General features: G+C 43.1%; 1 protein-coding gene across 18 annotated transcripts in view, besides 1 other annotated feature; it reads right to left on the bottom strand.

Moving 5' to 3' along the window:
• The window catches only part of PRKCE (protein kinase C epsilon), a 536,712-nt gene that overhangs the window by 118,787 nt on the left and 404,119 nt on the right, over positions 1 to 13,806 (bottom strand). The window lies entirely within an intron of this gene.
• Positions 691 to 1,890: an enhancer, noted in NCBI's record as "CDK7 strongly-dependent group 2 enhancer chr2:46294453-46295652 (GRCh37/hg19 assembly coordinates)". NCBI's record gives its function as "activates an origin of replication core promoter dependent on BRD2, BRD4, P300/CBP, MED14 and CDK7 cofactors, with strong dependence on CDK7, by STARR-seq in HCT116 cells {active_cell/tissue: HCT116}" and the evidence as "EXISTENCE:reporter gene assay evidence [ECO:0000049][PMID:35650434]".

The raw sequence follows: 13,806 nt of genomic DNA, 5'->3' as shown, positions 1-13,806 counted from the left end.
AAAAGAAAGTCTCTGAAATGCCCTGGTCTGTCTGCTCACTAGAAGACATGCCACTTCTCCTCTTCAAAGCATCTTCAATGATTCTTCAAAGCATCTCCATTGTCATTTGGAACCAAGCCCCAGTTCTAAGCAGCAGTGCTTTCCACACTTGAGCATGCAGAAGAATCAACTGGACAGTTTTTATAGCATAATTCCTGGACTCCACACCCAAATATTCTGATTCTGCAGGTCTAAGTTGGGACCGGAAATCCTGCATTTCTAAGAGGCTCCCAGGTAATGCAATGCTGCTAGTCTAGGGATCACCCTTGGAGTCACAAGGACCACAGCTCCTGTCGTCTGGTGGTAATCTAAATTTCAATCTGGTATCTCACAAGTCCCTACTTGAGCTGATCTCTTTTAATATCACAACCACTTCTTGCTCTTGGTTACTTCTGAGGCATTTGGGCAACTGCTCCAAGTCTCTCCCGTCTACATGCCAGGCATTTCCTATCCTCCTGCTCATTGGTGATGCCTTTGCAAATGAAGACAGCCCTTGGAGAATTCTTCTGCTTCTGAATTCACGGCAATCCTTAAACTACACATCTGATGATTGATCTTATTCTGTATGTGACAACCTTCTACCATTGCCTTATATTGTTACATCAGAGAGAGTTTTTTAAAGTTGGTATTATTTTTCTACCCTTCTTCAACTGGTCTTTCTCAGTCCTCATGAGTAGGAATTATACCTTGCACCTAATGGTACACCAATAAATAATGACTGATTAATTAGATATATCAATTAATATATTTAATATCATTTTGGTTCTGCTCTGCTATGATTGTCTGAACTACCAAGGTGGGTGAGCACCATTACTCTAGAAAACCTAATTCAACACTGTTTTATTGTCTTGTTTCCCAGGGCAGCTCCTGAAGTCTCTTTCTGAATCCTTTACTGGACCTAACAGAGTAGGCATGCTCGTAAGTTAGATAGCCTATGACTCAAGTGGCTCACCAAAATAGATTATTTTTTTCATCCTGGATACAGACCAGCTAAGGTTTATACTAATTCATGACCCTCTGTTAAGAATCTCAAAGGGAGATTCTACCCACTGATAATGTAAAAGTGCAGACAAACCCCCAGTCTCTCTCTGAACAATGAAAACGAAAGATGTTTCCATTGCCTTCTGACTAATCCCTTCGCGAGTGATATAATCAGTAAGCCAGTAAGGAAACCCTGCCTTCAACGAGAGTATGATGTAAAAAATGTGCATTCTCTTGCAATACTGACCCATGAACAATCTAATGCCAGGAAACCCACAACAAATGCCTGGAATACCGGCATTCCAGATTCACATGACTTTTACTGTACCCCTACCTTGCGTTATATTCTTGGTCTGTAGCGTTAGGAGAGTTAGCTAAGTAGTTATTACCAAGTTGTCTAGCTTGATAAGGATGGGCAAGCCCTCCACTGTAGACCCCCAGGCTCTGCTTTAAACTAACGGGAAGTTTTATGCGTTAATTTCATGAATGCCATTCAATGTTCAGCAGATACATTGTGAGCATCTACTAGATGCAAGCAGCGTTCCTGCAACACATAAAGTGCTCATTCTTCTTTTGCTCAGAACTCTAAGATGTGTCCACCCTTGAAATTACACATGGTGTTTCATTTTGCACCACGTAGGCTGGGCCCAAACCTGAATACGCACCAAACATGTGGAAGAGACGAGAAAGACTGCAGGGAGCAAAGGCCAGGCCACAGCATAAAACTCACTGCCTTCGGCTAACAGGTACTCCTGTCACCTCTGCCTTCCAGGTAGCGCCAAAACTGCCTCTCAGATGTCACCTCAGGCTGTTTATTGTGACTCTGAACCACTACTTTAAGTACCATTCTTTTCCTATTAATCCAAACTGTTTAAATAAAATTATTTTGATGGATGAAGACTCAGTATATATAATGCACGTCATTCATTTGGCACTTGTTCAAATAGGATATGGTGATATCTTGTATAGGACCAGGCTGAACATTTATCTGTAGAAAGGAATGCATTGCTTGGCCAATTAATAGCCAATGCAAAGGTAGATAATGTTTTAAATAATTTAAGAATAGAAAGAAATTTTTGGCACAGCAGTAACAACTACCTATTTAGCAAATGTGCTGGTTAAAATGATCCTTATCTTTTTATCATGTCAGGCTCTTCAGAACTTCTACCTGACAACAATTTTATTAGCCGTTCTAGTTCCTGTCCATGCACAGAAGTAATACAATGTCATCACTTTGAACATATTCCATATTACTCAGATTAACCACCAGTTCAAATGGTTCAAATGAGTTTCCTTTACCACGTATCTATGGAGAAGATAAAACTCTGCCAACTTAGTTAAAAAAGAAGCAATGATAAGAATCATTCTTTGGGGTTGACTTCCCACCACCCCAAAGACACAGCTCACCACAGAACTAACTCTTCTCCTCCTGTCTGTGAAGCCCAGGACATAGTTCCCACGTACTTATAACCAAGGGTCAGCCAGTGACAACAGTTGCCTGTAGCCTAAGAGCACAGCGAGAAACTTCTGTCCTGCTCTGATCATCTAAATGGAAAATTTACGAGATATACAGACAAATCAGTTCACAGACTATGCCCCAAGCACTAGAAATAACTTATTTCTACAATGTATTTGTACAAAATGTTCTGGATAATATAAAGTTGTTAAATGAATATAAGTCTAGGATTCCTAATTGGAGTGGATCGTTCCCTGCCCTCTTCCCCTGGAGATGGGAAAATCAAAAAGCAACAGACAGCCTTAGCCAATTCAACCTCTACCTATCTATTTTCATTCATAAATTCGGAGGGAAAGAAAGGAAGGAAAGAAAGTGAGGTCTCAAAAAAATGAAGTGAGGTAGGTGACTCATTACTTCAACATTTTCTTGGGGGTAACTTTAGCCAAGCCAGTGCTCAAGTAGGTGTATAGGCAGAAATAGGGGGAAAAACAGATACATCAAAACAAAGGAAGTTTATAAATGCTTCCCCTTCACCTGATATTGTACAGGGCCATCTCACCACGCTACAGCCCCTGCAACCCCTCACCACTTCTGTGTCTTTCCTCTAGGTCACAGCCTGCTGCTCCACACTCTGTCATGGGAGATGCCAAGGTTAAAATGACAGTTGGACTGTCAGCATCCAGCTTTTTGGAACGTCTGTTAAATAGTCTTGACGGATGCTGGATCTTTGCAAATGGGTGGTCGGGGACCAATACAGTCTCAGAAGAGGTATTTAAGACAAATTAAACAGCAGTGTTCCCCTGGCCCCATGGGCAAGAGGCAAGAGTGGGTTAGCTTCCCAAGAGACCGTGCCATCAGCTAAAGCATGAATCAACTGATCCATTCTATTTTTTAAACGTTTGCAAACACTTTCCTGGGATCAGTACCATGGCTCAAAGCACCTGTGATCATTTATGGCTTGGAAATATAATAAAGATATTTTAGGATAATTTTTTAATTGGAAAATATTTAAATTCCTTTTTGCCATATGTTTCTGACCTCCAGTGACCTCAGATCTTGATTAGGAAGATAAAGCAAAGACCAACCAGAAGTATGTAATTTTAGAACAGGAAAGTCGATCTGAAAAGTAATTTCTCTAAATTTAGTTACAGTAGCTCTTATCTGAACTGTGGTCCTTACACACCAATAACTTTTGGCTATTCAGATGAGAAGAACAACAAATTTTTTACCAAAATTGTTGTGTTCTTTTTCTGACTCAAGCTTAACCGGACAAATGAGAAGATGGAAGGGCTACTGGTGGAGTCAGAGAAATTCTTTACGTGAAATGACGTCTGCTTTTACTTGTTGGGAAACAGATTATTTTAAGAGAATATTAGAAACTATGACAAACCCCAAAACTGTTTCCCGTCAGAATTCTTGGAGGAATTGCTTAGTTTACCCACAGACACACTCCCTGGCCCCTGAATACTAGATAAACAGCATTCTTTCAAGATACAGGTCTTGAACAGTCATTTTCCCCTTTTCTCTTAATAGCAGGCTTTTAGGTTTAAACTATCCAGAAATTACATTACCACCCATGTCTCCTCCTCCTTTACCTGTTTGCAGAAAAGAAGCTTGGTAAATTATTATCGTATAATCTGTGATGCCAGCGCTGAAGTGTGGAATAATTTAAATATTTTGAAGGGTCGAGGATGTACAGGGTCAAATAACTTAAGAGCATGGCTTCTCAAGCTAGAACATGAAAAATTTCTCTTCTTCTAGTTGAAAATGGGGAGCCACATCTACAGAAAGCTTGGGCTTGGTGTTGGCAACAATGGGGCCTCCCCTTTCCCACTGCCCCAGTCCTTTTCTCCCCACACCCACATGAAAGGACGATACATTCCACAGGCCATGGATGAGCATCAAGTAGCAAAATTCTATAAGACTAAGAATCCCCCAGAAAGAGCCCAAGAGAATTACCAAAAAAACTTCTGTAATTTTGCCTCCAGTCCTAGTTTATTATATGTTACCAGTTTTAGGCCAATGAGGCATTTTCCAACTTCCCTAGTTCGTACTGTCACCAAAATCAGAGTCTAACTATGCTTAGAAAATGCTTCTTTGTATCTCCCTAATTCTTCTTCTATCTAATCTACAAAGGAGATAATATTCAGTCAGACTCTGCTTCTGGTGCAAGCTGCTGATGAAAATCTAAATCCCTCATGCTATGATTTAAGCAGTTATTGCCAAGACTGTCCTTTCTATTACCATCTAATATCATTTATTAAAGAAACCATTAGTGCAAGGAAATCTGATTAATTTGGGATTGCCAATTACTGAGAAGTGAATCATTAACAAATTCATATGAACTTCATTTGCAAATAGAGAACTTTTGAGTGTCGAAGGAGAACGACTATATTTTTAAGGGCAGTTAACAATTTTCTTTTTCTTTTTTTTTTTTTTTTTTTTTTGAGACAGAGTCTCACTCTGTCACCCAGGTGGAATGCAGTGGTATGATCTTGGCTCACTTCAACCTCCACCTCCCAGGTTCAAGCGATTCTCCTGCCTCAGCCTCCTGAGTAGCTGGGATTACAGGCACGTGTCACCATGCCTGGCTAATTTTTGTATTTTTAGTAGATACAGGGTTTCACCATGTTGGCCAGGCTGGTCTTGAACTCCTGACCTCAAGTGATCCGCCCACCTCGGCCTCCCAAAGTGCTGGGATTACAGGTGTGAGCCACTGTGCCCGACCAGTTAACCATTTTCATAGACAGTAAAATACTGTTAGCAAATGAAAGATGTGAGGCCTAACACCTGATGATAGTCAACAACTCTTCGGGCTCAGAGAGGACTGGAATTCTGTGAAGTCATTAGAAATGAATACTCCACCCTTCTCTCAGGTTATTGAATAATCTGTATCTTAAATGACTTTGATAGGAAAATGCTACTCCAATTTAGCCAGAAGAGGAGTCGCTGGTAAGGAGTTGCTGGTAAGGATTTTTACCCCAGAAGGAAGTGGCGATTGGTCTAGCAAAACACTGTAAATCTTTTCCTGCCCCTTGCAAGATGGTCACAGTTGCGGAATTCTCTGCCCTGGGAGCATGCTTGACTTCCATTTTCAAATACAAGGGAAAACAAACAAACTCGAGCTGCTTCACAGAGCCTCAAATAGCTTTTTCCAAAGATGGGCGCCATCCCCCATCAGGTGGGTTTTTGAGGGCCCAGACCACAGAAACCATCTGGGAGTCTGTGCTCAAAAGTTCAGAACAATCCAGAAATTATTTCAGCTGTTTTCATTTTATAAATAAAACAAAAACACCAAGTAGGAACAAACAAACACATGCTTCCATGCGTCTATTTTTAAAAGAAAAGACAGCTCCGCCCCGACTTTTTTTTTTTTTTTCTGTTCAACTTCAGGCTCTTACACATAAAAGTATAACACAATGCTGGAAACTGAAGCAGTTCCAAATTTTCTCCTCCTAGAATATCACCTAGCTATCTAAGCCTAAAGCATTTTAGGTCCTTTGTCTCCTCTTTCTGGCCCTGGATCAACGGAACATAATAACCAGTTGCTATTTCATCAACATCCCCAGGGTCCAACCTTGGCCCACTCAGCTCTGCCTTTCCAACAATCATCGCCCTCTCGTGGCAAAAGCTGTTAACTGCAAGCTACTTAGCAAGTTGACTGCAGATGGAGAATAAAATGATCAGCTTGCCCACTCTGCTTTCTTTCGTGATTTCTAAGAATGCACTTAAAATGAGAAAACTGGAAGATTTGTATGTAATTGATTTAAGTGTAGGAAAACCTACATTAATAAGCTGAGGCCGGGCGCAGTGGCCCATGCCTGTAATCCCAGCATTTTGGGAAGCTGAGGTGGGAGGATCACTTGAGCCCAGGAGTTTGAGACCAGCCTGGCCAACATAGCGAAACAACGTCTCCACTGTAACTACTCAGGAGGCTGAGGCAGGAGAATCGCTTGAACCCCGGAGGCGGAGGTTGCAGTGAGCTGAGATGGTGCCACTGCACTCCAGCCTGGGCCACTGAGCGAGACCATCTCAAAAAAAAAAAAAAAAAAAAAAAAAGGCTGAGCTTTTATACCCTTCAACTCCTACTTAAAAGAATATTGGGGGTGAAGTGGGGGAGGGTTGGTCAATGCATAAACACAGAAAGCAGATTGTTACTGCATTGCAAAGAGCCCCTTAGGTATCACTCTGTCGAACTCTCCTATTTACCTATTAGTCTTCATAGTTTGTGTCTAGTCCTAATCCCCGGGGATGGTTTTAGAATCACAAAAGAGTGTTCTTGGCACACTGGGCTTCTCATGGCTTCCTAAGGGGCACACTTTGAAAGAGAGTCTGACTAATTTGAGTAGGACATATCTGCCCAGGGAGCACCCACAGGGATGACCTGTCACCAGAACACACAAACGACCTCATGCACCGGGCCAGATTTTGTTTCTGAAAGGCTAAAACCCTATCCTCAACAAAAGAGTAGGGGACATGTCTATCGTATTCATTCCCATGCCCCCAGCATCTGACACAGGGCTTTATATCCAGCAGGAGGGCAAGAAATACTTAATGTATGCATGAGGCTGGGTGTGGTGGCTCACGCCTGTAATCCCAGCACTTTGGGAGGCTGAAGCAGGTGGATCACCTAAGGTTAGGAGTTTGAGACCAGCCTGACCAACATGGCGAAACCCTGTCTCTACTAAAAGTACAAAATTAGCCGGGCGTGGTGGCACTTGCCTGTAATCCCAGCTACTTGGGAGGCTGACACACTAGGATCTCTTGAACCCGAACCCGGGAGGCGGAGGTTGTAGTGAGCCGAGATTGTGCCACTGCACTCCTCCTGGGCGACAGAACGAGACTGTTGCAAAAAAAAAAAAAAAAAAGAAAAAGAAAAGAAAAGAAAAGAAAAGAAAAGAAATACTTAACGTATGCATGAGTGACAGCGAGATGCTGAATGGGTCTTCAGGAAAGCAAACACCGTGCTCATCTCCAGGGTACTTTGATTTCCAGTCCTGATTTCTCCCAGGAACTAGGGGATTTAAAATGCTACTCCGGGAATCCTTACAGATACCAAGGAGGTGGCTTGGGGGTTGGCCCCCAGCTCACTTCAGTAAAGGGAGGATTCCTCTTTCATAAGTTTATATATTGAGCTTCTCTGCAGGATTCATATTAAGGAAGGATTCTATTACTAAAATAGCCAGAAATGACTGCTCTAGGTCATTGGCCCCAGCACAGTAACAACGGACTTGAGAGAAATGGTTCTTCTCTCACCCAGAGAAAACAACGATAACTAAATTATAGGGGGGAAAAAAAAGAATAAAAAATTGTTAAAGGCCAGGCACCATGGCTCACGCCTGTAACCCCAACCCTTTGGGAGGCTGAGGCAGGCAGATTGCTCGAGCCCAGGAGTTTTGAGACCAGCCTGAGCAACATGGTAAAACCCCATCTCTATAAAGAATACAAAAATTAGCTGGGCATGGTGGGGCACACCTGTAGTCCCAGCTACTCAGGGGGCTGAGGTGGGTGAATCACCTGAGCCTGGGCATTTGAGGCTGCAGCGAGCCCTGATCATGCCACTGCATTCCAGCCTGGGTAATAGGAGTAAGACCCTGTCTCAAAAAAAAAAAAAAAAAAAAAAGGAAAAAAAAGAAGAAAAGAAAATCATTAAAGACAAAAAATCTGGCCGGACGCAGTTGCTCACTCCTGTAATCCCAGCACTTTGGGAGGTGGAGGTGGGCGAATCACTTGAGGTCGGGAGTTCAAGACCAGCCTAGCCAACATGACAAAACCCTGTCTCTACTAAAATTACAAAAATGAGCCAGGTGTGGTGGCGTGCGCCTGCGGTCCCAGCTACTCAGGAGGCTGAGGCAGGAGAATCACTTGAACCTAGGAGGCAGAGGTTGCAATGAGCTGATATCGTGCCACTGCACTACAGCCTGGGTGACACAGTGAGACTCTGTCTCAAAAACAAAAAACAAAAAAACAAAAAAAAAAAAAAGGAGAGAGAAAAAAATCTGACTATAAGATTGACAGAACTAGACAATTTCTTTGGGTGAGTGGGATGGACGCACAGGTGCATACAGCAACGGGAAGGGGAGGAGGGGTGTCTTATAATCACACAGAACTCTTCCGGGACCCTTTTCCCACTGGAACTCAGTGGTCCTGGAGGGAAGGACTGCTTTGGGAGCTAACAAGATTGGGTACTGTTTTCCTTCTCTGGTCTTTCCCCTCTCCTTCTGGATGACAGCTCCGTGTTGATGAGTGTGTGTGGTGCCCAGGAGCAGGAGAGCTCCCAGACAACTCACTTAACCCTCACTGCTTTGCCTGCCTCCGGTGTCATCACGAAGGTATTGTAAAACCATGGGCAGGGTCTTCTCTCTTGTGCAGGTTCTTGGGCTGCCCGGGCAGTGCCCAGGAGGAAGGGCTGTCTGACCTGACGTATGGAGATTAGACATGAACTTGCTACCTCAATCATACATTTGCTTAACTTCAGCTTTGGGGGGCTGAAAATGCATCCCTAAACTGAAATAGTTATGTTCCCTAGAGAAAAGATATGGCAAAAAGACTCTTCTCCCAACTAGTAAGCAATTCAAAGCCAAAGATATACACTGAGGTTAATAAAATACAGAATAATTCACATTGAATTTATTTACTATTTTTTCTTTAGTCCTTTAAAGTTCTTTTAATTTTATTTGGTTTTAATTTTTCCCATATATGTGGCAATAATGCAAACACATGACCTTGAGCACAAAGCAATAAGAAAATGTCAAATTAGTAGTAAGAAGTGCTCCTGGATAATCTCTAGAATGTGCAATATCCTTTGAAGTTAAGTTTATTTCAAAAATAATTCAAATGCTGAAATAAGCAAATTACAAGTAGTAAGCAAATGGCCCAAACCAGGCACTGTTGTTGTTGTTGTTGTTTTAAAGAGACAGGGGTCTCACTATATTGCTCAGGCTGGAGTGTAGCGGCTATTCACAGGTTCACTCATAGCTCATTACAGCCTTGAGCTCCTGGGCTCAGGTGATCCCCCTCAGCCTGCCAAGCAGCTGACACTCTAGGCATCTGGCTTCTGGGTTTTGAGAATGTTGAGAAGTGCAAGCATGGTAGGCAATAACTAAAATAATAAACCGCCTCTCAAATCTGCTTAGAATATTAGAAAAATAACTAATCTCTGCAAATGTGAGATAAATCCTAATGGCCTGAGTTTTTCTGAATAAGATTCTGGAAAGAGACTACTGAAGTACTTGTGCCATAAAGATTGACCAGTCACTGCTGCTGGTTACTTAAAGGAGTGACAAGAATCATCCCTGGTTAATGTAATGACTTATGGGCTGAGGCCACTGTATGTAGTGATTGCAGAAGATAATTTGTTTGGCTAAAGGAAAACAAAGTGCAAATAAATAGGCATTAATACTATTTTATTTGATCTAAAAGTGATTTTTGGAGGGTCAAGGGTTGAGGTCTCACTCTGTCATCCAGGCTGGAGTGCAACGGCGCGATCATGGCTCACTGTAGCCTTAACCTCCTGGGCTCATGGCTCACTGTAGCCTTAACCTCCTGGGCTCATGGCTAGTGATCCTCATGGCTCAGCCTCCCAAGTAGCTGGGACCACAAACAAGCACCACAAAGCTCAGCTAATTTTTAAATTTTTTTGTGGAGACACGGTCTTGCCACGTTACAGGCATGAGCCACTGCAACCAGCCTGAATGATCTTTTATTCTATTACTTAAAATGACACTTTTAGTGGGGCATAGTAGCTCATGCCTGTAATCCAAGCACTTCACAAGGTGAAGGCAAGAGGATCACTTGAGCCCAGGAGTTTGAGACCAGCCTGGGCCACACGGCAAGATCCCATAGCAACAAAAATTTTAAAAATTAGCTGAGTGTGTGGTGGCACCCGCCTGTGGTCCCAGTTCCTTAGGAAGCTAAGCCGGGAGAATCACTTGAACCTAGGAGGTTGAGGCTGCAGTGAGCCGTGTTCATGCCACTGTGCTCCAGCCTGGGTGACAGAGCAAGACCCTGTCTCAATCAGTCAATCAATCAATCAATTCAATGTGAGTGAAACCACAGCATTTGGGACATCTGGAAGACTGGAAGTGTCGAGGCCTGTCTTGATGGTGAGTAGTCCGACACTCCGCCACCAGGTGATATGCAGAATGAGTCTGGCGTTCACATCTTTACCACAACTTTCTGATTTGAAACGACTCTCATCTCCCCTTCTCCACTGCCTGTTTCTCCAAGCCAGGTTTATGGGATTTAAAATTCAGACCCTTTTTCTTCTTTAGTTGAAGTTTGGTTGATTAAATAAATATTTGGCAGTTTAAACAATGAGCCAGTTCCTTTGGGAACATGACGTTTCATCCCCACACAATGAGCATCTGGATCCCAGCCAGTCCTGTCCCAGCTTTCCAGAGGCTGGATGGGTGGTGTGGCCAGTTAGCCTCCTCTTGTCCTGACCTGCCATGGGCCACCAAGCCCTGGATGTTTGTGTCCTGCCAAGAGGGAAGCCTCAAGTCTGCAGAAGCAGCAAAACTCAGTCCTCCGTGCAGCCTTGTCTAACGTCTGTGTGCACCTATGCAGGCCACTTTACCGAATGGGAACAGAACTAGATGGTCCCTGAGGTTCCTTCCAGCTCTAACTACAAAGTGCAGAGGAAACTATGAATTTGCCCATTACTTCACTGTTGCAAATTGGAAAGTGAGGGCAGAGGAAAGGAAACTGAATTAGGAGGTAACTCCTGAGGTCTGACCAAGGTTCGCATTCTCTTTGTGGCCGGCAAGTGGCTTTTGCCTTTCCTTCACTTCAGTTAGTGTAGAAAGAATCACTGTGGATGGCCCTAACAGTGGTATTTATACTCAGATCTTTTCACAAGTTGTTGCTTATCTGATCCTCACAACAGCTTGGTGAGGGAGACAGGTGGCTATGTCCTGATCTCCATTTTTGTGAAGGAACAAACTGACGCCTGAATGCTTGAGAAAAAATACAAATTAAAATAAACAAACAAAAATACAAGGTCATATAGACATTCAGTACATTAAAAAAAATTTGAAGGCTGAGCCGGGTGGATTACCTGAGGTCAGGAGTTCGAGACCAGCCTGGCCAACGTGGCGAAACCCCGTGTCTACTAAAAATACAAAAATCAGCCGGGCATGGTGGTGGCGCCTGTAATCCCAGCTACTCGGGAGGCTGAAGCAGGATGATAGCTTGAACCTGGGAGGTGGAGGTTGCAGTGAACTGAGATTGTGCCACTGCACTCCAGCCTGGGTGACACAGCAAAACTCCGACTCAAAAAAAAAAAAAAGTTGAAGAGAATATTTTTTCTTATCCTGGTTCCCTCTGTTTCCAATACTTTATACCAATAACTTTCAACTATGTATTAAAGAGCCCTAAATTTGGGGGAATAGGTGGGAAGAAGAACAAATTTTCTCAAGATCGTTACAGGAATGTTTCCCATTCCACACGCCCCTTGACACCAGGTGGGATTATTTTTGCAGAAGCAATGCTATGTGACTTCTGAGAGTACGTCATGAAGACAGTGGATCTTCCACATCATTCACTGGAATATTCTCTCCTGAACACTTCAGCCACCACGTGAGCAGCTTGACTGCCCTGAGGCCACCATGCTATGAGGAAGCCCGAGTCAGGCCATACACAGAGACCACATAGAGAAGCTCTGAGACTCCATAGAGAGAGAGAGATGCCCAGCCAGCCCTCAGTTGTTTCCACCCCCTCCATCCCCACTGTTCAAACCCTCTGTAGCCACACAAGAGGCCCTGAGCCAGAACCAACCAGCTGAGCCTCTGAGTTTTGGGGTGATTTCTTTTGTAGCAATAGTGATCCAAACAGGTCCAAGTTTCCCCTATCAGTCAGAGCAGAAGTGCTTTCATCTGTTTTATATACTTGAATTTTCTCATTAATATTAGAACCATGATTCACTACTTAAAAAAAGAAAAGTTTGAAGGCTCTCTTTAAGAATAAGAGAAGAGAATTTCAGCCCTGCTACCACCTGCTGGAAGGATGACATGATGATGGCAAAATCTAACTCTAGGCTTGACTAGTATCCAACACATATTTTTAGATAGATAAATAATTACTCATGAGGCAGAGTAAAGCTTGTAATGAAAAGACATTCAAGAGGAAAAGATCTAAATTCTGGAAACATCTTAATTCGCTAATTGCTGACAATTTTTATCTTAATCAACGCAATACCTTTTAAGAAAGAAAAGATGAAAGGATTTGGGGAAAGTACCATACAATCACTGCAAATAACATATAGGACAGGAACAGCTTATTGGAAAGCCCCTGTTAGGAAAACTTAATCCCATATAAGTTACTGTATGCTTAGCTCACAGCAGGGGCAAACGGGCCAGAGGTACTGAGGTTGGTTCTGGCTTCTGTCTTTTGGGACAGACATTTGAAGACAAAGCACACCTGGAGGAGAGAGATCTGAAACTGATGGGCCTGAAAGCCAAAGGATGAAATGGAAAAAAAAAAAAAAGGTTCAAGAACATTAACCGTGAAGAAGTAAGATCAAGATCAAATGCAATTATTGTTTCCACAAATGGCAACAGTGAACAGCTGATGGAGCTCCTACTCACTGGGTATACTTGATTCAGTCCTCGAAACAGCTTGCTTCCATTTTACAGATGAGAAAATTATGGCCTAAGGTTATAGAGCCTGTTGGTGGTAGAGCCAGGATTCAAACCCAGAAAAATGGACCCCTGAAGTCCTGTATTTTTTATCCACAATGGGTTGGCATGCAAAAATTAGACTTACTGGCCGGGCGCTATGACTCACACCTGTAATCCCAGCACTTTGGGAGGCCAAGGCGGGCAGATCATTTGAGCCCAGGAGTTCAAGACCAGCTTGGGCAACATGGCAAAACCCCATCTCTAACAAAACTATACAAATTAGCTAGGCGTGGTGGTGTGCACCTGTGGTCCCAGCTACTAGGGAGGCTGAGGTGGGAGCATCACTTGAGCCCAGGTGGTTGAGGCTACAGTGAGCGGTGATCTTGCCACTGCATTCCAGCCAACAGGGCAACAGAGCAAGACCCTCCTCAAAAAAAAAAAATTAGACTTAGCATTTTTCCAAAGGGCAGATCCAGGACTGAGAATGGAAGTCACAGCAAGGCCAATGCCAATGGTGGCTCAAAAAGAAGAATTTTCTATCTGGTAGGGGTATAAAAGAATCAAAGTTATAGACAAAGGGTATCCTATTGCAGAAAATACACAAGCCAGATAACTAGCTTTGATGAATTTCAGTCTGACTGAGAGATTGAATTGAACCAGGGTATTTCACTGACCCCTTCATGGGAGGGAACTAGAGTTCACGGGCGCTAG

The sequence above is a fragment of the Homo sapiens genome, chromosome 2, assembly GCF_000001405.40.
Source record: "Homo sapiens chromosome 2, GRCh38.p14 Primary Assembly".
NCBI classification, from domain to species: domain Eukaryota; kingdom Metazoa; phylum Chordata; class Mammalia; order Primates; family Hominidae; genus Homo; species Homo sapiens.
This window is presented reverse-complemented; position numbering and strand designations above follow the sequence as displayed.